The sequence below is a fragment of the Homo sapiens genome, chromosome 2 (assembly GCF_000001405.40).
Source record: "Homo sapiens chromosome 2, GRCh38.p14 Primary Assembly".
In the NCBI taxonomy this organism is placed as follows: domain Eukaryota; kingdom Metazoa; phylum Chordata; class Mammalia; order Primates; family Hominidae; genus Homo; species Homo sapiens.
This window is the reverse complement of record NC_000002.12, coordinates 28920885-28948219: the sequence shown is the minus strand read 5'-3', so window position 1 is coordinate 28948219 and position 27335 is coordinate 28920885. Positions and strand designations below refer to the sequence as shown.

At 38.3% G+C, this 27335-nt stretch overlaps 1 protein-coding gene and 2 non-coding genes across 3 annotated transcripts in view; all 3 read right to left on the bottom strand.

Annotated features, from left to right (window-relative positions):
* The window catches only part of WDR43 (WD repeat domain 43), a 53553-nt gene continuing 26218 nt past the window's right edge, over nt 1-27335 (bottom strand). Inside the window, exons 7-18 of the mRNA NM_015131.3 lie at nt 25237-25301; nt 23067-23238; nt 21666-21752; nt 20520-20651; nt 18510-18641; nt 12613-12699; nt 11267-11298; nt 10226-10289; nt 6646-6759; nt 5839-5908; nt 1721-1770; nt 1-1620 (exon numbers count right to left, since the gene is read on the bottom strand). Of these exons, the coding sequence (NP_055946.1) occupies nt 1441-1620; nt 1721-1770; nt 5839-5908; nt 6646-6759; nt 10226-10289; nt 11267-11298; nt 12613-12699; nt 18510-18641; nt 20520-20651; nt 21666-21752; nt 23067-23238; nt 25237-25301 (1185 nt within the window). The 3' untranslated portion in view covers nt 1-1440. The remainder of the gene's footprint in view (nt 1621-1720; nt 1771-5838; nt 5909-6645; nt 6760-10225; nt 10290-11266; nt 11299-12612; nt 12700-18509; nt 18642-20519; nt 20652-21665; nt 21753-23066; nt 23239-25236; nt 25302-27335) is intronic.
* Nucleotides 20160-20237, bottom strand: SNORD53B (small nucleolar RNA, C/D box 53B). Its single transcript, NR_145755.1, has one exon. It is a non-coding gene; the product is annotated as a small nucleolar RNA, C/D box 53B (small nucleolar RNA).
* SNORD53 (small nucleolar RNA, C/D box 53) lies at nt 21076-21153 on the bottom strand. Its single transcript, NR_002741.3, has one exon. It is a non-coding gene; the product is annotated as a small nucleolar RNA, C/D box 53 (small nucleolar RNA).

Sequence of the window (27335 nt, the reverse complement as noted above, 5' to 3'; positions counted from 1 at the left end):
TGGGTAAAGATGAATATTTATTCACTTTACAAAGAGAATGGTATTAAATTGCCATAAACAGCTCCATTTATAGACAAATATAACTGTACATTACACCAGCAGCTGGTTCAAACTTGCTTTCCCAAGATGCTTATATGGCTCTGGCTCTTAAGATGAGCACACAAATCTCTGTTCTGTCATTGGTATTAAAAACTCCCTCAAAGATAATGGTTTTGTTTTACATATTCACAGGTGGGAAAAAATAAATCCATCTGCCCAGCCCTTTCTTAGAGGTGAGCTTCCATGTGCATGTCCCCTAGTGAGCACTAAGCCAATATCGGCTCATTCTTTAAAAAAAAAAAAAAAAAAAAAAAAACTACTACTGATAATTTGCAAAGGCTTTTGTAGCACACCAAAATATTTATACATACATAAAAAATCTTGAGTGAGACTTATCATTTTAAAGGTAAACAGATACCCTAACACTGCCAAGAGTAGGTAATGAAAAGGAAGAAAAACATTAAATTATTTAATTATAAAAATATTTTCTTTGGAAAAAAAATTCCAACAAGGTTATCATTAATATCTAAAACCAAAGAGAAAAAATAAACAATTGTTCTTTGATCCATTAGTAATTTAAATAAAAATGGAAACCTCTTCAAAAGCAGCTATAACTGAATTTTTTTTAAAAGTTGCAGGTAATGAGCACTTCTAATCTATACACTGATGATTCTTTAGAAGTAATTTGCAGTCAAGAAAAATCCTTAATATGGCTAATTCTCTAGTTTTTTAATGACCATAATTTTTGTTTTGTTTTAAAAAAATACTTCACATGATAGCTTCAAAAATAAGTGGTTATTCTGGGGAAGCACTCCAAATATTCAATCTGACTCAAGTCAGATTATCACAGTTAATAGACAAGCTAGGGATACTGAGGATTTTTTTTAATTACCATCATTTTTACTCCAGTTTGTAGTTATCCCTTCATATTTTATGAAAATGTACCAAATTAAATGTACTAAATTAAAAAAATTTTCACTAGTGCTGCTTTGCATCTGGATTTGATGAAAGATACCAACCTGAGATAAGAGCTGACTTCTTCACAACAGTCCAGTTCTTGAACTCCTATGGGAAAGGTCTTTATCTGCACTTGTCAATTCTTGATATAACCAATCATACTAGGATATTATATTATAAAAATATACCATATATTGGACACTGATGTCAGTACATTGCAGAAAATGTGTCTATATACTGTGTAAAGTTTATTAACATTTGAATGAAACACTCTTATTTACACAGTCAAGTCTGGGGTGCTCAGGACAGCAAAGTGGCATGGGATCCACTGCTGTGAATTTGGAAATGTGCAGCGGTCCTTGGCATCCTGGCACAGAGGCAGCCCTCACCACTGGGCAAGGTGAGCCAGAGTTTATATAGTTTGACCGGCTTGCTTTGCTGTCTTCATTCTTCTTCACTTTCATTTTCAGGATCTAAATCAGAATCTCCATTTAATTCTTTTTCACTTGCTGTATCTCTGTCCTCGCCATTTTCTTCATCTTTTCCTTCGGCATCCTCATCTTCCTCTTCAACGTCCTCATCTTTTTCACTTTCACTCTCCTCCTCATCTTCATCCCAATTATCCTAGTCGAAATACCAACAAGGAAAGCATTCATGAAGGTCTCATTCTTACAGAGTATGAGGATATAAAGGCCGATGTATATACAGGGAACAAATCACTCACTTCAGAATCCTTATCTGCTATTTCATCATCAGACTCCTCTTCAGAAGACTCTGTAAGGGGAGAAAGAACCCAGCCTTAATTTTAGAACAAAACAGAGGGTACAGCCTGGAAATTAAGCAGAACCAGATTCCTGAATTTACTTTTAGAAATATTATTTATATTTAGCAATCATCCAACTAAGAAATAACATTATTTTATTATTTTTTTTTTTTGCAGGCTGGAGTGCAGTGGAGCAATCTTGGCTCACTGCAACCTCTGCCTCCCAGGTTCAAGCCTCAGGCTCCTGCCTCAGCCTCCTGAGTAGCCGCCACACCCAGCTAATTTTTGGTATAGACAGGGTTTCACCATGTTGCCCAGGCCGATCTCAAACTCCTGGACTCAAAGGATCCGCTCACGTCTGCCTCCCAAAGTGCTGGGATTATAGGCATGAGCCACCACACCTGGCTAATTTATTCTTACATGTATAAAAGTATATTCATTATATTATTCCTTCAAGATCTCACCGGTCCAAACCAACTAGCCAAACCCTTACAAAAATCTCATCTTTAAATACTAAGCCCTATCAGGGCCACCAAATAGCCCCAGTGGATGAGGAAAAATTCAACACAGAAAAGCTGGCTTATAAACGAAATGGAAGAATTAGCATTATTTAACCCATAAAGTACTAATAATGAAATATTAGCAACTGATATATTAGATGTATGATTGTTGGGGGAAAACATGCAAACGTTAAAACAAAAATTAACACAGCTAGATTATTTTCTAAGCACTAAGGAAGATATATCTCACAATGGAGAGGAAAAAACTGATAACAGGCACAATGTGGTTCTTAGTGTGCTGCAATATGAACGATCAGCATTGATGCAACCCTCCAAAAATAAAATCCAATCAAACCTTTAGGCCTCACATCCAGTTTAAAGGAACTGTAGCTTAGAGGAGCAAATTAAAAGAAACCAAAAGGAAGCAAATCCACAAACATAAGGTGGGGCATTCTGTGAAATACACTTCCCAGTCTCTTCACCAAGTCCATGTCATGAAAAAGGGAGTTCTTAAAGACTAAAAAGAGTCTTCAGAAACACAGTAGCCAGATTCAACCCCATGATGCAAAACTCGAGTCTAGTTTGGGAAAAACAGCTTTAAAGGATATTTTACGGATAACTGGAGAAAGATGAAGATAAACTGGGCATTGGATAAAACTAAGGAATTGATTTCATTAGGTGTGCTAATGTTATCCAATAATACAGAATGGGATTCCTATTTTTTTAAGATATTCTAACATTCTTCTTCTATCTACTTTTTCTTAAGAAAATAAATCATTATCTCCAGATGAAGTTCCCTTACATGCCCATCTCCCTAAGCCCATTCCCCAAAAGAAACCACTATTGTGAGCTTCTCATTCTCCAGTATGCTGTTATAACACATACATCATACTACCCATGAATTACACATGTACATATTCATGAAAGACATATGCAGCAGTTCCCCCAATATGTGTTCCTTTTCCCCAGTTTCAGTTTCCCCTGGCAACTGCAATCCAAAAATATTAAATGGAAAATGTACCAAATCCAGGATCCCTAAGTTTTAAATTGCGCCCTGTTATGTGCAGCGTGATGAAGTGCCGTGCTATCTGGCTCCGCCTGGCCGGAGAGGTAAATCATCCCTTTGTCCAGCTTCGCTGTCTACACTAGCCACCCGTTAGTCGTTTAGTAGCCACCTCAGTTATCAAATCGAATGTTGCAGTATCGCGGAGCTTATGTTCAAGCCACCCTTATTTTGCTTACTAATACAATTACACGATGCTACACAGAAGGTATCATTTTTTGACTTGGTTTTGTAATCAAACTTATGCGTGTTAACTCGATCTCAACTCCAGGCACTCTCACCAATGTAGTGTTATGCTAAAGGAATAAACCATTTTAAACATGCTCCCACTAATGAAGAATTATGTTGTTCACAAGTCTTTTTCTTAATTATAAAGGCTGCAATGAACATACTTATATAATCTCTACATATATGTTTTAAAGCTATGTTGTCAAGCCTTTTAGCCTTAAAATGCTTTCACATTCTTAAAAAACTGAGGTCTCCAAAAAGTTTTTGTTTATGTGGGAAAAGTCTATCTATATTTATCACATTCAAATTCAATTTTTAAATTTAAGAATATTTAATCTGTTTACAAATGCCCATCCATTACATGTTAACACAAATCAATTTAATGAAAAACAGTATTTCTGTGCTCTCTTCGGCAGCACATACACTAAAATTGAAAAATGGAATTTCCAAAACAACAACAAATTCTACTAAGTAGAATGGCACTATTAAAAACTTCTCATATCTGCTTCTCCACTCTATTTTTTGGATATGTTGTTTTATTTGAACTATATGAAGAAAATCTAGCCTCCCACAGATGACCGATTGAAAAGCGGAGGACATCATGAGCCGCTCAAAGAGTTCTGGGCATCCCCACAGGTCCTCTGTTCATACTTGGAGAAGTATTGGTCACTGGGATACACACAAGCACTTTGGGATCACTTTGGGACTGCACTTGATGAATGGAAGGATATGCAAATTGTCAACTTTGAGATTACAAAGTTGCTCTCTAAAAAGAATGCACATGTACTCCCACCACAGCATGAGCTCCCATTTCCCAAATCATGGCCAACACCTGACCATTTTCACTCTTTCAAATTTATCCATTTCTCACAATATGGAATGTGATGTGTGATGTGATAATGGTAAAATTTTTTGTTCCATATAAATTATCAGTGTTTCTAACAACTTACTGAGCAGGCTATCTTCTCCACAATGATACAATACACACCATCAATAAACACACCAAGAGTCCACAGAACTACGGGTTTTTCAGGGGTAGCTATTGCCAATCTATTGGTCTAGCTGTCTATTATTGCACATTAACTCTGTAACCCTACACTTCTATAATCAATTTGCTACTCAGGGTATTTGAGGATGATCTAAAATGTTCCCTTTTTGACATTTCCAGGTTTTGTTATCAAGATTATACTTGGCTCATAAAATGACTAAATTGCCAGTACATGACAAAAAGGACAGCCCAGTGTTGTGGGTCATGCTTCTATTCCCAGCACTTTGGGAAGCTGACGCGAGAAGACCGTTTTTGAGGCCACGGTGTACAAGATCAGCTTGGGCAACAAAGAGACCTCATCTCTACCTTTAAAAAAAGAAAATTGGCCAGGCATGGTGGCTCAACAGTCCCAGCTACTCTAGAGGCTGAAGCAGGATGATCGCTTGAGTGTAAGAGTTTGAGGCTGCAGTGAGCTATGATTGACCTCGAGCCACTGCACTCCAGCCTGAGCAACAGAGAGAGTCTGTGCAAAAAAGAAAAGAAAAGATTTGTTCTTTGAAGGCCTGATCAAATAACCTTCAAAATATCTGGGCATATCTTGTGAGAAGTTTTATAAAGTCAATTTTAGAGCTACTGGCTTTTTCAAACTTTTTATTTCTTTTAAAGTCAATTTTGGTCATTAATGTTTCCTTAAAAATTAACTATACCACCTAGACTTTTAAATGTATTTACACTAAGTTTGTTCATATAATGTTCTTCTATTTAAATATTTTCCATACCTGGCCAGGCATGGTGGCTCACACCTGTAATCCAAGCACATTGGGATCACTTGAGCCCAGGAGTTTGAGACCATCCTGGGCAACATAGTGAAACTCTGTCTTTACAAAAAAATACCAAAGTTGGCCGGGCATGGTGGTGCACGCCTGTAGTCCCAGCTACTCAGGAGGCTGAGACAGGAAGATTGCATTGAGCCCAGGAGGTTGAGGCTGCAGCAAGCTGTGATCACAGCACTGCACTACAACCTAGGCAACAGACTGAGACTGTCTTAAAAAAAAAAAAAAAGAAAAGAAAAAAAAAATCTTCCATAACTAATGCCCTTTTTTGTCACTGTATTATACTTGTGCCTTTTCTTTTCTTATCTGATGAATTACAGATTTTTGCCACGGACTTGCCTATTTTAATTAGAGAAGGCTTGCCAAAGGAAGATCTTATGTTGACGTTTTCAAAAAGATAACAGAACTCAGTCACTGAAAACTGAATGTTATAATTCTAGACTCCATCCCATTCCCCCAGTCTTTACCTTCTTCATACACCAACTTTGCCTTCTGTCCAGGGGAAGTTGCTCCCTTTGTCTTCTCTGATGCTGTTACCTGGAAGAAGATAAAGTACTGTTCTGAAGTAGAGTGTAAACATATCCCAAGTATCACGACCACCAGCATACCCAACCTTCCCCACTGCTTGCTGCTAACTCACCCTCCACCACCATAATGGAGGACCTTCATACAATACAGAGCAAAAAAGTCCTTCAAATACAAGAGGGAAAGAATTACTCTGTAAAGCTGAAAAACTCTGAGGTGATTAGAATATCTTTCTGTGCCAAAATTTTAACTGTATAAATATCCTATAACTTACTAACTGTATAACAACTGAAACACAATGGTGAGAAAAAGATTTGAGTAAAAGTTGAAACAGACACAACTAAACTTTCTTACTGTCAAACTGATAAGCTTTCCAAGTTAAAGACTAGATCCTGATTTACCAATTTCTTACTGAAACAGGGAGCTCTCAGCCAGGCGTGGTGGGTCACGCCTGTAATTCCAGCACTTTGGGAGGTCAAGGTGGTAGGATCCCTTGAGCCTAGGAGTTCAAAACCAGCCTAGGCAATGCCATCTCTACGAAAATTTAAAAATTAGCCAGGCATGGTGGTGCATCCGTGTAGTCCCAGCTACTTGGGAGGCACTTGAGCGAGGCTGCAGTGAGCTATGATCATGCTACCGCAGTGCAGCCTGAGCGACAGAGCAAGACCCTGTCTCAAAATGATCCTTATTCCTCTCTCCATTCCTACCATGTCCAAAAGTTTTAGCCCAGAACAATATGATTTACTCACTTGTGTAATTAGAAGAATAAGCTTTCCATGAAGGTGTGAAAGTTTCTGAAAAGTTTTGACTCTGCTTTCCATTAACTGGTAGAGTGTCCCCAGCTGGGGTACCAGGTCAGGCAACTAGAGAAAAAAATGATCATTTGGCACTATTAACGTATTAGAGATGACGAACACGCAAATCATGCTCAGCTATGCCTCAGTATTTAGCCACTGCACCACACACATCTGCTTACAAGTACTCCCAGTGGCAGTGGCTACCTGCAACATAGCCTAACAACATCACGAATTTTCACAGAAGACCCTCAATGTCCTAGGAGGAAAAAATAATAGGCTTATAAAAAAAATGATATAAGGGCAAGAGAGTGAAACTGCAAGGTGGCACTTTTCTGTATTGATCAAACTATTTCAGATAAGGCCAATATCCCATATAAAGTAGACAGGAAATTAAAAATGCCTCTACCACGTATCTCCAGGCTAAAGAGGCTTTCCTCTGAATCTTATCCTCTGATGCTAGCATATTATCTACCCTTACTGTAAGGCCCCAAAGAGGCAGAGAAGCCTTTTCCCAGCTCCCAGAGACCAGTAGAACAAAGTACAAAGTTGACCTTTTGCATTTTAAATATACTTCCTGTTAATGAGTCCTCTGAAACATATTTAAAAAATGAAAGTAGGACATTCTCTTTTTTGCTCCCATGTTGCTCTCATCAGAGTCTTTTGTATTGAGAATATAGCTGTTATATTTGGAACACAACACGACTGATAAAGGTCTGGCTCCTCCAGGTTCACTGAGGAATAAAACAATGGTAATTTGCCTTTCTCATAAAATCTTAAAGTCCCCTTGATCATTTTTAACAATATGAAAGGAAACCATGATGGCCATAATTTTTCTATCCTAGATCAACTATAAAAAGCAACTGGAAAAATTTAAATGCCTCTTTTTAAAGGAAGCCATTTGGAAGTCCAGAACAAGCCTCTTCCTGTCCCACTGCCTTCAAATACCTGCCTCTGGTTAATTTTCCTCCCATCTCTGGGCTCTAAGAACAACGCTGGCAGCTGGGCGCGGTGGCTCATGCCTGTAATCCCAGCACTTTGGGAGGCTGAGGCGGGCAGATCACCTGAGGTCAGGGGTTCAAGACCAGCCTGACCAACATGGAGAAACCCCATCTCTACTAAAAACACAAAAATTAGCCAGGCATGGTGGCATGTGCCTGTAATCCCAGCTACTCGGGAGGCTGAGGAAGGAGAATCATTTGAACTCATAAGGCGGAGGTTGCGGTGAGCCAAGATCGTGCCATTGCACTCCAGCCTAGGCAACAAGAGCAAAACTCCGTCTCAAGAAAAAAAAAAAGAAAAAGAACAACGCTGGCTTCCCCACCTCACCCCCTACCCCCGTGATATTCTGATATTCTTTTATCTGTCCCTGTAGCACTACAGAAAAACGGACTCCATTCTTTTTTTTTTTTTTTTTTGAGACGGAGTCTCGCTCTGTCGCCCAGGCTGGAGTGCAGTGCCATGAACTATGCTCACTGCAACCTCTGCCCCCCCGGGTTCACGCCATTCTCCTGCCTCCCTCAGCCTCCCGAGTAGCTGGGACTACAGGCACCTGCCATCACGCTCGGCTAATTTTTTGTATTTTTAGTAGAGACGGGGTTTCACCGTGTTAGAAAGGATGGTCTTGATCTCCTGAACTCATGATCCACCCGCCTCAGCCTCCCAAAGTGCAGGGATTACAGGTGTGAGCCACCGTGCCCAGACTCCACTCCTTACCTCTGATTAGCCTTTACCTGCACTCCTATTTCTAATACTTTAGTAAAAAAGTGTTTCATTCAAATGTTAACTTTAAACAGCAGACAGACACAAAAATTAGTAAAGCAAGGTTTAAGGTCATTGCATTCCAATTTATCACCTCCCTTTTGTGTCCCTGTTCAGACTATGAGCTCCAAGAAGATGGGGACCAGAGTGTTTGGTACATTGCTGAATCCCCATGCCTGGCATAGCCCTTGGCTTACAGAAGGCACTTAAAAATATCAGCAAAGGAAGGAAGAAATGAAGGAAAAGAGCGAGGAAAACCATGGTTTCCTTGATAACTGCTACGGGCTGAGGGGCCCTCCCTATACCATTCTTTCGTCTGTTCTGCCACGACCTTGAATGTTACACCACAACTACTCTGGTTATACCTCAGGAGTTGATTCCAGAAAAGATTTCACTACAAGATCTCCCGGGTCTCTCCTCACTTCTAAGCAAGTAACTGAGGCCACATTAGTGTTGCCCCATTTGCCATCCAGATTCCTAAGATCCGATGTCTGCTGGGATCGTTCATGCAATTGCAATGCCCCTCGGCCACCCTCTCACCAGTGCTCCCAAGTCACCTCCCAAAACCCCTCTCACCAGTGCTCCCAAGTCACCTCCCAAAACTCCTCTCACCAGTGCTCCCAAGTCACCTCCCAAAACCCCTCTCACCAGTGCTCCCAGGTCACCTCCCAAAAACCCCTCTCACCAGTGCTCCCAGGTCACCTCCCAAAAACCCCTCTCACCAGTGCTCCCAGGTCACCTCCCAAAACCCCCCTCACCAGTGTTCCCAGGCCACCTCCCAAAACCCCCCTCACCAGTGCTGCCAGGCCACCTCCCAAAACCCCTCTCACCAGTGCTCCCAGGCCACCTCCCAAAACGCCTCTCATCAGTGTTCCCAGGTCACCTCCCAAGCCTCCTACAGGCTGGGACACCCAAGATCTGTTGTTTCTCTCAACCCCATTCCAGCATCTTAGCGAGTTCTCCCCAAACACACAAAGAACAAACTGCTGACCTCAAAGCAGATTAACCAAGTTTTCCCTAATTCAAGCCACTGAAGGCAAAGGAGTCAGTGACAGAGAACAAGGGACTGTGACAAGGCAGGAGTTGGGTGAGACTGTGTTAAGAAGAGCTACATTTTAAAGAACAATTCAGGATTTTTTTCAACTGTCCACTAAAAACTTAAAGCTTAAAGTAAAGCACTAGATAAAGAAAAAAAATTGAATACTTTTATTTCCAGCTTAAAATATAATGGATGTAATGATGTGGCAAAGAACCCAACTCATATTATGAATACAATTTTTTTTTTCTGGTGTTGCTTTCCCTCTTCTATTTCCATAGGTAATCAAGAGCTGACAGCAGCACCAGCAAATTGTCAGGTAGCAAATATTTATGTTACTGTTACCATTAACTACATTTTATCCTCCTGGGACAAGGCAGGACAGACACATTAGCATGTATAAAAACATTTAAAACCTGCCGTGCCTGTGTGTGTGTCACATCTAAATCTTAGTATGTCATTATATAACTTTTCTCCTTTCTGTATTTGTAAAGATCTCTATATTTTTACATCCGGGGGGCAGAGGGGAAGACCAATTTATAAAAAGCCACAGCAGTGACATCATGAAAGGGCTCATGTCATTGCACCCGGGGTAAAACAAAATCTCTAAAGGAAGCATCTAACGGCTGAAGGATAGATGGGGAAAGGATGGTTTTGTTCAGCCATACTTGTCAAAGTTTACAATCCTTATCAAAGCCAAACTATTCATACTCGGCAACAGAAGCTGAAAAGACTCACCGTGGACAGGTATGATGCATGAACTGTTAACACACATTTTAGCCACTGAACCATTAGCACAGCACTGGAAAAAAAAATCCAAGTAAACTAATGTTCACAAATTCAAAAGTAAATTCAACTGAGCTGTTAGAAAACCCAGACAGACAAGTGAAGGTCTATAAATGTTGCTCTGTGAAAATGACTGTAATAAATATATCACTGTGTATATATCACTTTCCGTTTTTTCTTTCAGATTATCTGAGCTCTGTGTCATAGACCTTGGGCAGGGATTGGGGGCCACATCAGAAAACAGGACAAAACCCCTTCCTCTAAAACAGTTCAAGAGCAAAACCCGTGCTTTACTTCATAATTAACTGATATGAGGGCAGTAATCTTCGTCCAAATTGAGTTCGACTGGTTTTGCATTTTATGTTAACAATAAACATAAAAATCTGTCAAGAATAGCAAAGTCCTCCATTAACATTAAAAGGCAAATATAGACCAAAAATGTGCAAAAAAGTCATAATTAATGAATTATTTAGCTTTCCTCTTTTGTGAGCTCAGAAGGCTAATGCACCCCACGAGAAAAAAAATTTTTAAAGAAAAACTACATATTTTACTATCTAGATACTGATGATAATATACTATAAGCTTAGGATCTTTAAGATGTCATGTTATTTAAATGTTTGATCAGATTATCAAGAAAAAAGACACAAAATTTAGTCTTTTAGCTAAAACATATTTTTACAGAGTCTTAAGCAGCTATCAGAGGTTCGGCAGGTACTATAAGCAGCAGTTTTACGATATCAACACTAAGTTATTAAATAAGACTAATCATTTAAATGACCTGCTAATAAAGCTAAAGTATCAATTTAGGAGTTTTGCAAAAGAAAACTATAATAAAACGCTAAGAATAAGAATCATTCAACTTAAAATAAGGGAGGTGGCGAGGGGTTAATATTTGACACTGAAAGAGTTTTATTAGTTAGAAATCAGAACCACCTAATATTTAATTTCATGCTGTCAGACAACACTGTTTTTAAGTCACCTGTTTAATCTTACCTATTAGGATGTCCTTGTAACCTCTTTGTAAGCTAAGGGAGAGAAAAACACTATTAACAACAGCACTTCAGAGGCAACCAATGCTGTCAATTCCTATGATACAATGACAATATTGAGAAATTATTATTCTAATAAGTAGTCTATTTTAAACCGCATAATACAGTCTATGAATACATTCCCATAATCAGAGTAATTAGCTGATAAAAGTCTAGGATAGGACTTATATGAAGGAATGTCCAGAACCGGCAAAATCCACAGACAGAAAATAGCTTAGTGATTGCCAGCCAACTGGGGAGAAGGAAGAATGGAGAGTGACTGCTAATAGATAAAGGATTTCTTTTTGGGGTGACAACTGCACAACTTGCAAACATACTGAAAAACACTAAAATGTATACTTTAAAAGAGTTAAATTTTATGCTACGTGAATTGTATCTCGATTTTTAAAATACAAAGAAAAAAATCAAGGTTAGGCAAATTTTTATAGTAGGCAGTATTACAAAAACACATGACCACCCTTTTCTATACAAGACACTGCTTTTTTAAGTACAGAGTTTTCCCTTACCAATAATGGTACACCAGCCCACACTGTTAATACCGTAACTATACTTGCAAAATACTTCAGCAGCATGTTAGATAAATGGAATCCAGGTATAATTTCTAATTACAAAGAATACACTCTATTTTTAGGCCTAATTTTTAAAAATTTATACCCACTCTTGTAGGGCAAGTTTCAGTGAAATTATATATACTTTTTTTTTTTAAGATGGGGTCTTGCTATGTTGCCTAGGCTAGAGTATAGTGGCTATTTAAATGTGCAATCATAGCGCATTACAGTCTTAAACTCCTGGGCTCAAGCAGTCCTCCCACCTCCAATTCCATACTGCCAGTCACAGAGATTAACAACCAAACTGTGATTAAGAAAATCAATACATATAAAAATGGTTTCGGTGTTAGGTTAAGGTACCTCACAGGACATACTGGGAAAAACCAAAATGAGAATTTGGGAGCTTTATGTTTGGGGTGTTTACAACAATTATTCCCATGTAGATGATATCCTGTACATACAGCATTCTGTGCCACAAGTTCCAAGTGCCTCCAGGTAAACAGACACACAATAGCCATTAGCAGAATAAAGGTAAAACTGCCAATGACATTTCCTTTCATTGCCCCAGGAATTAATTTCACTTTTTTTTTTTTTTTTTTTTTGTCTAAAGTACTTTCCTCCATCCATTACTCACTCTAAATGCCATGTGTCCTTACGTATTACAAATCCATTTCTCTAACTACTGAATTTTCCATTTAACTCATGGCATTAGGATGCTGAAATGAAAAAAGCAGTCAGTTACCTCTTGTAACAACGGAATAATAGTATGCAGGGGCATCCTTAATACAGTCTTCTTTATAAGGTTTACATTCCTAGTTTGAAGTACTTTCTGTGAGAAAATAAAAGGATTATTAAGATGAGCATACTGACAAACCAAGGACATCACAGAAAAAAAAAAGTCTGTAAAAATGAATCCTTTAAATCATTTAAGACCAAGGCAATAAACTACAAACTGAATTTAGCAAAAATAAAGGTTGGAGGGACTGAATGGAGTATGTTATATTACGTCTTGTGCTTAACAGACAAGCACAGTCTTTGGGTATCAGTAAATTTACTTCATTACTGAAGTAATTTTACTTCTTTGTGTTTTATTAAAACATCTCTAGACGTTTGAATACAGACATATGCCACTTTAAAGATGTTCCCAAACCTCCATTTTATGAAATTTGGGCTGTATCCACCCTAGAGTGAGCAAAACAGTAAAATTACTTAGAAAGCAAGAAATCCTTTTAAAGTAGGTGTCAAAATTTTGGTAAAATTTTATGCCAATCAAAAGATGACATAATGAGAGCTTGAATCAAAACCCTTTAAGCGTACATCTATGGTGGAGACCCAGTCTCCACACTGGGTTACAGCAAAGGACACAGAGCAGATCAGTTCCGGTCCTGCCCCTTAGAAGCACACCTTCTGGCACAGGTTGTTCAACTTCTTCAAGCCCCACATGCTTTACAGAAGTAGAAGGTGAAAATTAGGGTCCTTTTGAAAGGGTTTAGTTCCAGAGAGTCTTTCTAATGGTGTATGTATTTGTTGGTGATGGTTGTTGCTATAAATATGCTCAGAATAGAAACAGCAGTGGCACCAAAAGGCAAAAATAGAGGAAGTTAGTTTCCAACCTATTAATGTATTTATTTGAAACAGGGGCCTCATTCTGCTGTCTGGGCTGGAGTGCACTGACATGATCACAGCTCACTGCAGCTTTGACCTCCTGGTCTCAGTAATTAGTAATGATTTTCTAATTTAAAATCAGCAAATAAAAATACGTTATCCCAAACTAAGTGAAATGATAATAAACAGAGGAGTCAGCCTCATTAATTTCCATCAAGGATGTATGTAAAGAAACAAACCTATAAGCCATAGTTATAACTACTAAGAAGGTGGTGTTGAAGACAAGATTTTTCTTTTACAACTTTACTGCAGTACAAATGAAGCGTAATAAACACCATATATTTAAAGTGTACTGCTTGATCAGTTTGACATACTCTTTACCCATGAAACAAATACTATGATATGATAAAAATAAACACTGTATCACCCTCGGGTCTCCTTGGGTCCCTTTAAATGTATCCCTCCTTCCACCCCGATTCCCAGGCAGCTACTGAACTATGTATTGGTCTGCTTTTCCAGAATTTTTATATAAATAGGAATTTATATTACTTTTTGCTTGGCTTCTTTCTCACAGCCTTAGTTTGAGATTCATGAATACTACTGGTCTATTAATAACACATTACTTATATTGCTAGATGAACAATTTGTTTCTCCATTCACCTGTTAAAGGACATATGTGTTCTTTCCAGTTTAGGGCCATTACAAAGAACATTCATGAGGAAGTCTTTGTATGAACGTATGTGTGTTATTCTCCTGGTAAATATCTAGCAGCAGAATGGCTCCATCATATGTGGATACATCCTCAATTTTTAATAAACTAATTGTTTTCCAAAGTAGTTATACCATTTACATTCCCACCAGTAACATACTTGAATTTCAGCTGCTCTACATCCTCACCAACAGATGGTATTATTGTCTGTCTTTCGCATTTTTATCAACCTATAAGGGGTGTGTGCAAGCTTTATTTCACTGTGGTTTTAATTTGCCTTTCTGTGATAATTAATAATGCATAATACCTTTACATGTGCTTACTGGCCATTTGAATTCTATTGTGAAGTGTCTATTCAAACCTTTACCAACTGCTTTAAAGTCCAGATACAAATCCTTTGTCTAACATGAGTTGCTAATATTTTGTTCCCAGCCCTCAGCTTGTTTTGTTATACTCCTAACACTGTTTTTCCAAGAACAGAAGTTTCTAATTTTGATAAGGTTCAAATGACCAATTTTTTCTTTAACATTTCATGCATTGTATGCTATATCTAAGAAATCTTTCCCCACTCTTGTTCACAAAGATGTTCTCCTGTTTTTTCCCAGAAGTTTTGTAGTTTTAGGTTTTACAGTCAAGTCTATGGTCTATTTTGCATTGATTTTTGTGTAAGGTGAGATAAAACTGAGATCCATTTTTTTCCAATTGCATGTGGTTTATTTCTGGACTCTGTTTTGGCCCCTTAATCTATATTTATTTTTTCACCAATATCAAACTATCTTGACTACTATAGCTTTATTTTGAAATCAACTGGGTGATTCCTCCAACTTGCTCTTTATTTTACCATTTCTTTGGTTATTCCATGTCCTTTGCATTTCCACATAAATTTTAGGATAGGTTTGTCAATTTCTACGAAGGTGGCTGACAAGGACTGCTGGAATTTTAATTGAGAATGGATTAAATATATAGATTATTTGGGGAGAATTCTTGACCCCAAAATACAGAATATTCTAACCCATGAACAGGGCTTAGATCTCTATTTACTTAGGTCTTCATTAACTTCTCTCAACTGTTATAATTTTCAGTGTAGAGACAGTTACCTGTTTTAGATATACCCTAGGTATTTTTTGGTACTACTATAAATGGAACTGTTAAAAAATATTTAACTTAAATGCTTTTTAAAATATTTAAAAATATCCCCTATGGATGCCATGAATTACATAAATACGCTTCTCTTTTTGCATAAGCTACACACTAATTCATTGAGTTACATTTCCACCTTCCAAATGCCATTAATGTTAATGTCAGGTTTTCTATGACAGACAGTATTAACCTCTTGGAAGGTGCCATGTTGTATCCCTGTCACTGCTCACATTCTTCTTTTGTTCCTATTTTTAATATCCTCATAACTATGTATCCTCATAAGGCAGCTTTTGGGAAGGGGGAAAACGTTTTTAGAAAGAAAAATGTTACTAACCTCTTTCTTTTTAGAGTACAGAATATATAAATGCATAATCTCCTAGGTAATACATTATAAGAACATCCATTCTTTTCTTTTTTAAAAAAGGGTTTACTTGGCTGGGAACGGTGGCTCACGCCTGTAATCCCAGCATTCTGGGAGGCCAAGAGGGGCAGGTGACCGGAGATCAGGAGTCTGAGACCATCCTGGCAAACGCAGTGAAGTCCTGTCTCTACTAAAAATACAAAATTAGCTGGGTGTGGTGGCACATAACCATAATCTCAGCTACTTAGGAGGCTGAGGCAGGAGAATCGCTTGAACCTGGGAGGCAGAGGTTGCAGTGAGCTGAGACCGCACCACTGCACACCAGCCTGGGCGACAATCGATCAATCAATCAATAGAATAAAAATTTTCTGAAAGGGCTATTCTATGCCAGCACTTTGTGAGGCTGAGGCAGGAGGATTACTTGAGAACAAGACTTTGAAACCAATGTGAGCAACACAGCAGACCCTGTCTCTACCAAAAAAATTTTAAAAATTAGCTGGCTATGGTGATGCGTGCCTGCAGTCCCAGATACTCAGGAGGCTGAGGTGGCAGGATCACTTGAGCCCAGGAGTTCATGCAGTGAGCTACAATTGCAACACTGCTCTTCCAGCCTGGGTGACAGAGTGAGACCCTGTCTCATTTAAAAAAAAAAAAAAAAAAGGGCGGGGGGAAGGGCATGTGTATTTTATGCTCTTTACTAACTTTTCAAGCACACAATTTTTCATCATTCAACCACTTCTCTATTATTTCTACCTAAGTAACCTATACAATTTAAGAAGTGTTTTCATAAACAGCATTTTATTTTCCCTTTCAACACCTATGACACTTAATGAAAGTTACATATTAACATCTTTGAAACGTTCTTGCAAAAAAAAAAAAGATTTTAAACCGAATCTCTTCTAGCTTATAGATCTAACCAGAACTAGATCTAGATCTTCAAGCTTCTAGATCTAACCTATATAAAGAACAAGATAAACAGAGCAATGTGTTAAATGATACCACAGTGATGCAGTATGCAAAATCTTGAACATGGAATGCTCTACTAGGCAAATAACCTAACTTTTCCAAAAAACTAAATTGCAAGAGACAGAAGGGGCATACCAACTAAATACAGTGTAGACTCTGTTGGAATCTTGTTTTAAAGAAAGCAAAAATAGGCCGGCACAGTGGCTCACGCCTGTAATCCCAGGACTTTGGGAGGCCAAGGCGGGTGGATCACGAGCTCAGGAGTTCAAGACCAGCCTGGCCAACATGGTGAAACCCCATCTCTACTAAAAATACAAAAATTAGCTGGGCATGGTGGCATGCGCCTGTAACCCCAGCAATTCGGGAGGCTGAGGCAGGAGAATTGCTTGAACCAGGACCTGGGAGGCAGAGATAGCAGTGAGCCGAGATTGCGCCACTGCACTCCAGCCTGGGCTACAAAGCAAGACTCTATCTCCAAAAAAAAAAAAAAAGCAGAAATAAAAAAAAAGTTTGAGACAATCAGGGAAATACAAACACTAATGATATTTGATAATTTTTAAAGAATTACTTTTTTGAGGTGCAACAATGGATTATGGTTATTTTTTTAAAGGATGTTTTAAGTTGAATGGGGCATATTTATGGATAAAATGATATGTGATCATCTGAGATTTGCTTCACCATAACTTGGGGAGACAAGTGAGACTATCAACAAATCAACAGTTGATTGGCTAGTACTGATAATTTTTGAAACTAGGTAATGAGTTCGTGATGGTCCACTGTACTATTCTAAATGTTTTGAACTGTTTCTTAATAAGAAAAAGAAAAAATTTGTACTTGATTCATTTGTACCTACTGAGGAAGGTTTCAAAGCATAATTAGAACGCAATGAGGGCAGTTAAGTTATATTCCATTTCAAAAACACTGTCAATTGTTTTCTACAGATTTTTCACCAAATCTTCACCCAGGTTTCTATGCCATGGTAAACTAAAATCTACCTCCACAATACACACATTCACAAACTATTTTAAAAGTAATTTTAGGATCAATGTACCCTAAAAAAATGGATCAAATAAAATGAGACACACTATTCATAGGTTATGGATTAAAGTCACATTGACACTCACTGAAATCACAACACTGCTATGAGTCATTAAGAATAAATGCATTAGCAAATGTAAACTGCTTTAATCTGATCAGGCAGTACTTGAATCGAACTGTTTTTCACTTAAATATTCTAGATAGAATGCTGTCAAACTGTAGAATTTAAGAGAATCAAACTGAGTAACTTCATACAAGCAGTCACCAACTTACACAGAAATCATAAATGCCTCCCTTTATACAAAGTTTCTAGTACTTTTACCTCTACATATTTTACAACATAACCCCCAACCCTCTTGAATTTTCCCCCAAACCTCCTACCCATTGCCAAGGTTCCACCTCACTGCCCCCTCTCACGGCCAGGGGGAAATAAGTTTCTGGAATCCAGAGTAAAAACTCAGGAACGCATTTTCCTACAGAAAAAAATATAAATTGTGATCTAGAATGCTGAGTATTATCATTCAGCTACACTATGTTTATAAAGGCTTTTATGAACTAAAGCCTAATAACCTAATAATTCAGAACAGTATTTCTATGAGAAAATGCATTCCAGGTTCAAAATAACTCAATGCAATCCCGTTGTAGGTTGGTGACTGTCTGTATAATGCCACCAAGTGATACATGTTTGACTAAACTCATAAAACATTACATTCCAAATGGCTCTGTAACATGATGGCTCACAGCTGTGAATGTGCTATGTCAATCATTTTCTAAGAAATATTAACCATGTTAATTTAGTTAAAAATTGCTATATACTTACATTTAGCATTTCAAAATCGTTACTTTCTAAGCCCTGGGTAAGAAGAACTGGAAAGCTATTCGTCTGGAGGTCTTCCTTTCCTTTTTTGTGTGTGTCTATATCCATTGCTCCCAGACGTTCTTCAATGCTAACCTACAGAACAGAAAGGATTGTTAATGTGTTACCAGACAAGACTTAAAGTAGTTTGGAGACAAAAAAAATAAAATAAAATAAAATAAAATAGATTTACACCTCAACCCTAGAAAACACTAATATGCTCATTCTTATTCCAAGAGAACCTCATTACCATAATGCCAATGTTGGAGACAAACATCTGCAATCCAAGCTTCCAGATTCTAGTGAAAAAAACAACGGCCCAAGAAGCACATAGTTTGAAAATGTTCATTCATAAAAATCCTTCTAAATGAAGATTCAGAAAAGGCAAGGACCTGGCATCTGATTCTAGAACACAAGACTTAAGACCTATTCTCACAGAAGCTTGCCCCACTATAACTATCCCTTGGTGTCACTCTCAGATCTGCAGGAGGAAACAAAATATTATTAAAAGGGCATAAAGAAATGTTATGTTCCCAAAACAATTTTTTAAAATGTCTTCCTATTTTTAACAGTGAGCTCCAAATGATGATTTATTAGCTAGAATATGCTATACTACAACTAAGTGTCCTTCCTTGATAAATACTTAACATTTATGTGTAAATAAACATGATGCAATTTGCTATACAAAAACTCAACTGTGGTCTGGGTGTGGTGGCTCTCACCTGTAATCCCAGCACTCTGGGAGGCTGAGGCAGGCGGATCACTTGAGCCCAGGTGTTCGAGACCAGCCTGGGCAACATGGCAAAACTCTGTCTCTATAAAAAAATTAGCCAGGCATAGTGGCATCCATCTATGGTCCCAGCTACTCAAGAGGCTGAGGTGGGAGGATCACTTGAGCCCAGGAGGTGGAGGTTGCAGTGAGCCAAGATCAAACCATTGCACCCCAGTCTGGGTGACAGAATGAGACCCTATCTCCAAAAAACAAACAAACAAACAAAAACAACAACAAACACCCTCAATTGTATAGAACTGATTCCTGATTAAATCAAGTCTAACATGTTCTGTCAGCCTCTTGGTTATCAAAAAGAAATTTGTTTTATGACTAACATAGCAAACAGATGTGCTTGGTTTATCCTAACACAAAAAAGATTAAAAAGGACATGGGGAAATTAAAAAGTTGAAACTAGGCCAAGCCAAAGAAAGTTGGCGCTTTATTTTTAAAGTCAGCTATCATGTAACTGAGGAATAACTTTTATGAACATGTTATGAACATGTTTTATGAAGCTATGTTATCCCCACCCCACCACCCAATAAACGCATTTAAAATCAGCTAAATTATCCTTCAAAAATTGGACAAAGAAAAAAAAAGAATACAAATTAAAGTAAAATCAGCTAAAGAAACCTAGTATTTCTGTAAGAATGAAACAGTTAAAATTCCAGATTCCTTATGTAAGAGGGAAGAATGTGAATGGAAGATAAAAAACAACTCTGCACAGACATGTACAGTAACCACAAAGGATTTTGGGAACTGAGGAAAAAATGAAGATCATAAACACTTAGGCAGTTATAATGACTATCACTTTTAGAGACCAACTGGCACTAGGTTAGCCAGGATTGCTCAGACAGCCAAGAGAAAAGAGGCATCACTGGAACTCAGCAACATGCGAAACCCAATGATAGTCATCACAGCAAGTCCTGGCTTGACTTATTCCATTTTATGTTACCCAGCTAACTACTAACTAATGGCCAAAACAGCACCCTCTTTAGTTACTGAAGGTTCCATCTTCTCTGTTAAACAAAGATGACAATCTAGAATTATGAAATCTATGATGGTGAAGATAAAAGAGAGCATAACAGGAGAAATCTCAGTAAATTTCTAAAGATTTAACTTTGGCTCTATCCAACACACTTGTTAGAATTTCCCAGTAATTTTAAATCACAAACTCAAATATATGGTCAAAGCAGTTGCATTACCTCATTTCCCCCTGACTTCCTCTTGCTCTCTACTTGCTCGGTTTGTGGAGGAGCGGGCTTGATAGCTGCATGATGACCAGGAATCCCAGGCACCAGAACTTTTGCTTCAGAATTCATCACTGGTGTCCTCACCTGTTCAACAGGAATAGCCAAAGTGTGAAAAAGGAAATCATACCTTAGTCCTTAAGTATCCTCAATGAGAAAACAGCTTTTAAAGGGCTCCTCTATTGGAAAAATGCAATATAATTAACTTGATATCAATTTAAGATATATTTTAAATTGAATGTTGACAAACTTTTTAAGTGACAATCTGAAAGACTGTGAATTTAAAGCTTACAATACCACATAAGAGTAAAATCCGACTGGCCTGACAGTAGTTGGTTATCAGAACTTATTAAATATTTAGTGTCACTAACGTTGGTATACAAGCCCCCACTACTAAATTCAACTGGCTTTAAAAAACTACAGATTACATAAAGACACAATGATTTTTAAAAATTTAAAAAGTGAAGTTACACATTTTACAACTACCTCCAGAATTCAATCTCTGCCAGAAATGCTCAGACAGCCAAGAGAAAGGTGTCATCTCTGAAACTCAGCCAGCAGCGAAACCATATGGATGTCATCATAGCATGTCTTGGCTTTCCCTTTCTCACTAAACCACGAAACACGTCCCCTACATGTAGACACCAAGTTATATGCAAAATGGAGCACCATGATGATGCTCCTATGCTTTTGTGGTATTATATTCTAGCCCCATGACGGTTTTATTACACCCTGAAATACAGCATTCCTCTCAGCAAAGTAATGCTCTTTTAAGTACTGAGATTGATAAAAACTATCTACTGATAAATCTGATATTGATATTTATCCCTACATTCTTCCTGGCCCAGATGATCATGCATGGTGGGCAGGGAAGAACCACATCCAAGGTCTTCAACTGCTAGTCTTCTATTCATTCATTCACTCAACAAATCAGGAGTACAATCTTGACATCTAAAACCATAATCCCACAAAATTTATAAGACAAGAGAATAAAGATATTAAAGAATAAAAAACTCAGTTTAATCATAATACTAAGTAACAGTTCCATTCACCCAAAGAAATATTCTTTTTCTTAAAACTTCAAATTTGTAATGTGCTCACCTTTGTTATAGCTGTTTCTACTTTGGGGGCCCAGCAGTTTGAAATATCTCTTACTAAACACATATGAGGTTCTCTGGAGTTTAAAGCCTGAAAATATATTTTTTTTAAAGGGGAAGATGAGAGGAAAGAAAAAAAAAAGAGTGTCAAACAAAGCAACTGGGAATAAGAACAAAATGAAAAATAAATGACTACTTGTGCATTTTTATAAAATATTAAAAAGTATGGAAGACTTCCACACTCAATTGTTAACCACGATCACCACTCAGACTGACGGCAGTTAAGAAAAATGGTAATTCTGAAGACATTGGGTACCAAGGTTTACTTTCCTCAGCTATGAACTGCTTGAATTTTTCACATTTATTTTTTAAAGTTCAACAGAATTTTTAAACGTAACAGGTTTTAAAGAAAACGTATCAGTTCATCATCCTTTTAAGAAACAGTCTGCTCAAAATAGTAAATGGTTCTACTCTTAACTCTCCTATTGTCCTTTCCATAAGCAAGTCAAAGGTAGCACTGTTGATTAACAAAATGCATCTGTATGTCCTGACACGATATTAAATAGGATCGGGGGAGTCAGATGCAGCAAACCAATAAAGATTTAAAGTGATACATAATTCTATATGCCCATGTAATTAATCAATATCGGGAAAGATGCAAAAAAATAGTCAACAATGGCTGCAAACAGAGAGGGATGGAATTCACATATGGCAAGGAGCCATGTTTACAGCTTAACACTTTTCTCCTTTTTTTATTTTTTTAATTAAACCATATGCACGTATGCTTGTGTGAGCATGTAATATTCCACTCATAGTCTTGCTGAGGATCATACGAAGTAAACGCATTTTAAATGCAAGCTTAAGAAATAACCTTTTGTACATGCTTACGATAACTCAGAAGTCTTCAAGAAACGTCTCTAGTAAACAATGTTAAATCATTGCACTGCCCATTACATTTCCACTTAGAAAATCCAATGAGTGCTAATACTAAGAGATCCTATTATTAAGATTCATATCTTCGTAACTAGGCAAAATTCAACATAAGTCATACCTGTACTGACCAACTAGTAAGACACTAGGAACATGTGGCACTGAGCACTTGAAATGTGGCTAGTCCAAACTGAGATGTGCTAGAAGTGCAAAATACACACCAGATTTTTAAAACATAGTACCAAGGGAGAGGGCTGATATAAATAACTCAAACAATGCTTTAAACTGACCAGGTGTTAAATTATGTTGGATATAGAGCTCTCAAAATTAAAATAAACCACTCCATGAAGAAATCCTTTAATTAAAAAAGAATATATTATTTATCTTAAAGACCAATGTTGTTATTTTTAAAATCACTCTCTTCCATGGACACAGGGATGCTATATTGCTTTACTCCAGAGTAGCAGCTACGTACCACTCGCTCAATAGTAGGCTGAAACCAACTGCCATATACAAGCAACAATGACATTTTGTCTGAGCAAAAACCAGCAGCTAGAATAGGGATGGGTTTTGGTGTTGACTTCTTGCCTTTCCCAGGTGTTGCTATCTGAATTGTGCAGTTTGAAGTCAAAGGCTTTTTGCAGTACCTGGAAATGGAGGGGGAAATGAGATTAAAGAATTTGAAAAAACGTCTCATACTAACTCTCTGGAACTGACATCAAGTCACGAAATGTGACCCCCCTCTAGCCTCTATACTGCCATCAGGAGTCACCTGGGTCTCCGGAGCATGAGTACTCCTTTCAAGACCTCACCTACCTCTACCTATACTCAAAACCTCACCACCAAAATCAGACTGGAGACCTACTTCCCCCTCTGTCCCATTTTTTCAGGCCCCGCCAAGAAGCCCCAAGCTGCCAAACGTTCTCTTGCCACCCTGTACTTCAGGTCCTGTATGGTTCTGTCCAAGCCCTGTTCCAGTCAGTCCCGTCTCCAGTTTCTCCCAACCCCCAAAAGCCTCAGCAAGCCTCTGGAGTGTAGTTCCAGCAGCAAAATTGTGTCCTCAATGGCTTCTCTAGGGGCTCTCTTCACATTCTTCCTCTACCCTGGCTTGTCCCTGCAGCACTCCCAACTTGTACCTGTTTTCTCTCCCATACCATTTGTGTCAGGGGCCTTGGACATGATATAAATAAGTTCCCTGCTCTTCACTGACACTTCAAGACAATAGTCTATCCCTTTTTCGTCCCTAAAATCTTTTCAATTGTTGTCACCAGATACCAGCTACCACTCCCTCCTGCCGTCATCCAATGATCTCTGCCACCATCCACATTTCGTAAAGATTTCAGTGGCTTGAGGTCATTACTTCTAACATTACTCTAAATGAATTCCTTTCTTAGTGGTTTCCACACCCAGTGTCCAGGTTGATGGACACTCCTGACACTCTGATCTGTCAACTCCTTTCTCAAATGAACATGCCCCTCACTGTATTTCAGCCACAAACTCCTCACACCCTACGCATCTTATTACCACTTATTCTCCACAAGTGTACATCCTGCATAATATCCCAGGTGTAAGCATCTCATGATCCCTATCTTTCCAACTTACTCCTCCTATCATCCTGACTCCACAACTATCTCTAAACCCAGGATTTGGGGTCTCTACTTTAGCCTTTCACCCTCTATAGTCTATTCTCAATGAACGACTGTCTTAAAACTCAGGCCAAAGCTCATCGAATCCTCTGCTTGAAATCCTTCAATGGTTTGCCACTGCCCAGGTAGTCCTCACTGTGGCCAGCTACCTTTGGGTCCCACTTCTTCTGAGTCTCAATTATACATTCCAGGTACACACATCCTTCTATAAATAAAAGCTTCAAGAGTTACACACTAAAATGTTAACAGTTACCTATAGGAGCAGAACTCAATGGAGGGAGACTCAGGTTTTAAAATCAAGTGTTTGGGCATCCTGGGTGTTTTGAAATGAGTATACACTTTTTTCATAATCTGTTTATATTTAAATAAATTCCTATACTGGTATCTTAAAAGAAGGGTGCCAACTGACAACAAGAGGTTAAAACCATTTTAAAGCTTAACAAAATTTGTGCGCAAAACTGAGTCTCAGACCATGTTTACAGTATAATGACAAGGTTTGGCAAGTTTTCTGAAAAGGGCAAAATAATAAAAATTTCAGGTTCTCCAGACCACAAATGGTCTCCACTGAATGTGGCCTGCAAGCCGGTTTGCTGACTCCTGGTCTATGACTGCTACACAACCTGACAACAATACTCCCCTGTCTATCAAAACAACAGCACTGGCAAGGGGAAGTAAAGCACGCTCAAAGATAAATAAAACATCATCAAGGTTCACAAGTGAATCTCTCCAGCTTAGCCACTTTCTTCTGAAATGTATCATTAGAATTATCCAACATGTACTAAGGATACATCATAAAAAGCCAATCTCCTAATCACAAATATATAAATTTGACACCCAGTTTTAACTGGCAATGTATATAGTCATGTGGATAAAGAAAAATGCTTTCAAAATAATCTGGCTGAATAGTAATATGATGCAAAGAATAACCAGGTGGGAGTATGACCAAGTAACAAGTCAGGGAAAGAAACAAATTTCTTACTTGGAAAATTTCTTACTTACCCATTTAATATGTGTTCAAAAAGATGGACTTGACCATCTCTGCAAACAACAGCCAACTTGACAGGCTAAAAGAAAAATGTAACCAACGTATTATAATGGATAACATACTCCAGTCCCCAATCTACCTTATGAAAACTCAGCTGTCCTTCCCACCCCATTACACAACCAGAAAAAAAAAAAAAAAAACACAGCAAGAATCCATTTAAAAATAATTACCTCTGTCAAAATAACCATTAGTGGTGGTGTTGTCAAGATTCTAGATAAATGTTTAAGCCAAGAAGAGAACAGTCAAGGAGAATGAGCCCTCCAAGTTAGATGAACAAAGTTACTACCAAGTGCAAAGGCTGGCAACATGGAGCTGACATGCCCCTCTTGCCGGGAATACAGAAAAAGCCATTTTGCCTGTATGGCTAGGAAGGGGTGTTGTAAGACCTCATCGCCTCTCTTCCTCCATCCCCGGTCAATGTAAGTGGCCTAAGCTGTCTGGAGATGCCCCTACCACCTAGAAAGGGTTGTTGTAAGCCCTCGCTGCCTCTCTCCCTCCATTCACTATCAATGTGAGTGGCCTAGGCTCTCTGCATGCTCCTACCTACCAGACTCTTGCTGTCAGCCTCTCTAAAGCTCATTTTTTAAAGTTCTGGAACTTTCTTAAGGAAAGCTTAAATGAAAGCACTTCCAAAACACTGCTATTCCTACTCTAATTATAAAGGTAATGAGAGAATTCAGGGAGGAGCCAATACATTGAGAGAAAATGAAATATATAAAGTGTTTTAAGACTAACTTTGCACAACTGTAATATATCAATTAAAAACTAGAAAAAAGAGACTAACTTTTGTTGTGAAAAACAACTTTGAAAATGTTTAAAATTCTTTACTGGTGTATTTAAAAATAAGAAATCTCAGAAAGGAGAGATTTTATTAAAGAAAATTTCATTCTTTCTGACGTTTAGTGCTACATGACAGTTGTCAGGGGAGGGCCAGACACAGTGGCTCAGGCCTGTAATCCCAGCACTTTGGCCGAGGCGGGAAGATAGCTAGAGCCTGGAAGTTCGAGACCAGACTAGGAAATATAGTGAAACTCTATTTGCACAAAAAATACAATAAAAATTAGCAGAGTATGGTGGGCACATGCCTGTAGTCCCAGCTACTCACAAGACTGGGGTGGGATCACTTGAGCCCAGGGAGGTCAAGGCAACAGTGAGCTTTGATGGCACCACTGCACTCCAGCCTGGACAACAGGGTGAAACCCCATCTCAAAAAAGAAAAAGAAAAAGTTTAGGGGAAGAGATCATTTCTCCGCCATCAAATTTTCTAGTTCCCCGTTCTGCAACTCCAACTGACAGGCATCCAAATCTAATCTCTAACTGTCTATAGAAAGGTTGGTAACTTTTGAGAATAAAATAAGCAGATTATTCTGCAATATCATAATCAAAGTTTTGTTTTGGAATTTTAATTCTAACTTACTGCTGTTAACTACAATCTTACATGAAGTGCCAGAATTAGAACTTGGCTTCCTGATCCATCATTCCTAGTTTAATATCTTAAAAAATCATTTAAAAGGCTGGGCACAGTGGCTCACACCTGTAAACCCAGCACTTTGGGAGGCCGAGGCAGGCCGATCACAAGGTCAAGAGATCAAGACCATCCTGGCCAACATGGTGAAACCCTGTCTCTACTAAAAATACAAAAATTAGCTGGGCATGGTGGCATGCACCTGTAGTCCCAGCTACTCAGGAGGCTGAGGCAGGAGAATCGCTTGAACCCGGGAGGCAGAGGTTGCAGTGAGCTGAGATTGTGCCACTGCACTCCAGCCTGGCGACAAAGCAAGACTCCGTCTCAAAAAAAAAAAAAAATTTTTTTTAAAAAGTTCTGCTCCCTTCTTTATTATCAATAATTTTAAATATAATGCCAATAGTATTCCAAGATAAACTCTGAATCAAACCTAAAGTTAAATCTAAAAGTAGCAACAGAATTCAGTCAGAAAAAGAGAAAGTAAAAATTCAGTCTTGCCCAGGCACAATGGCTCACACCTGTAATCCCAGCACTTTGTGAGGCCAAGGTGGGCAGAACACCTGAGGTCAGGAGTTCAAGACCAGCCTG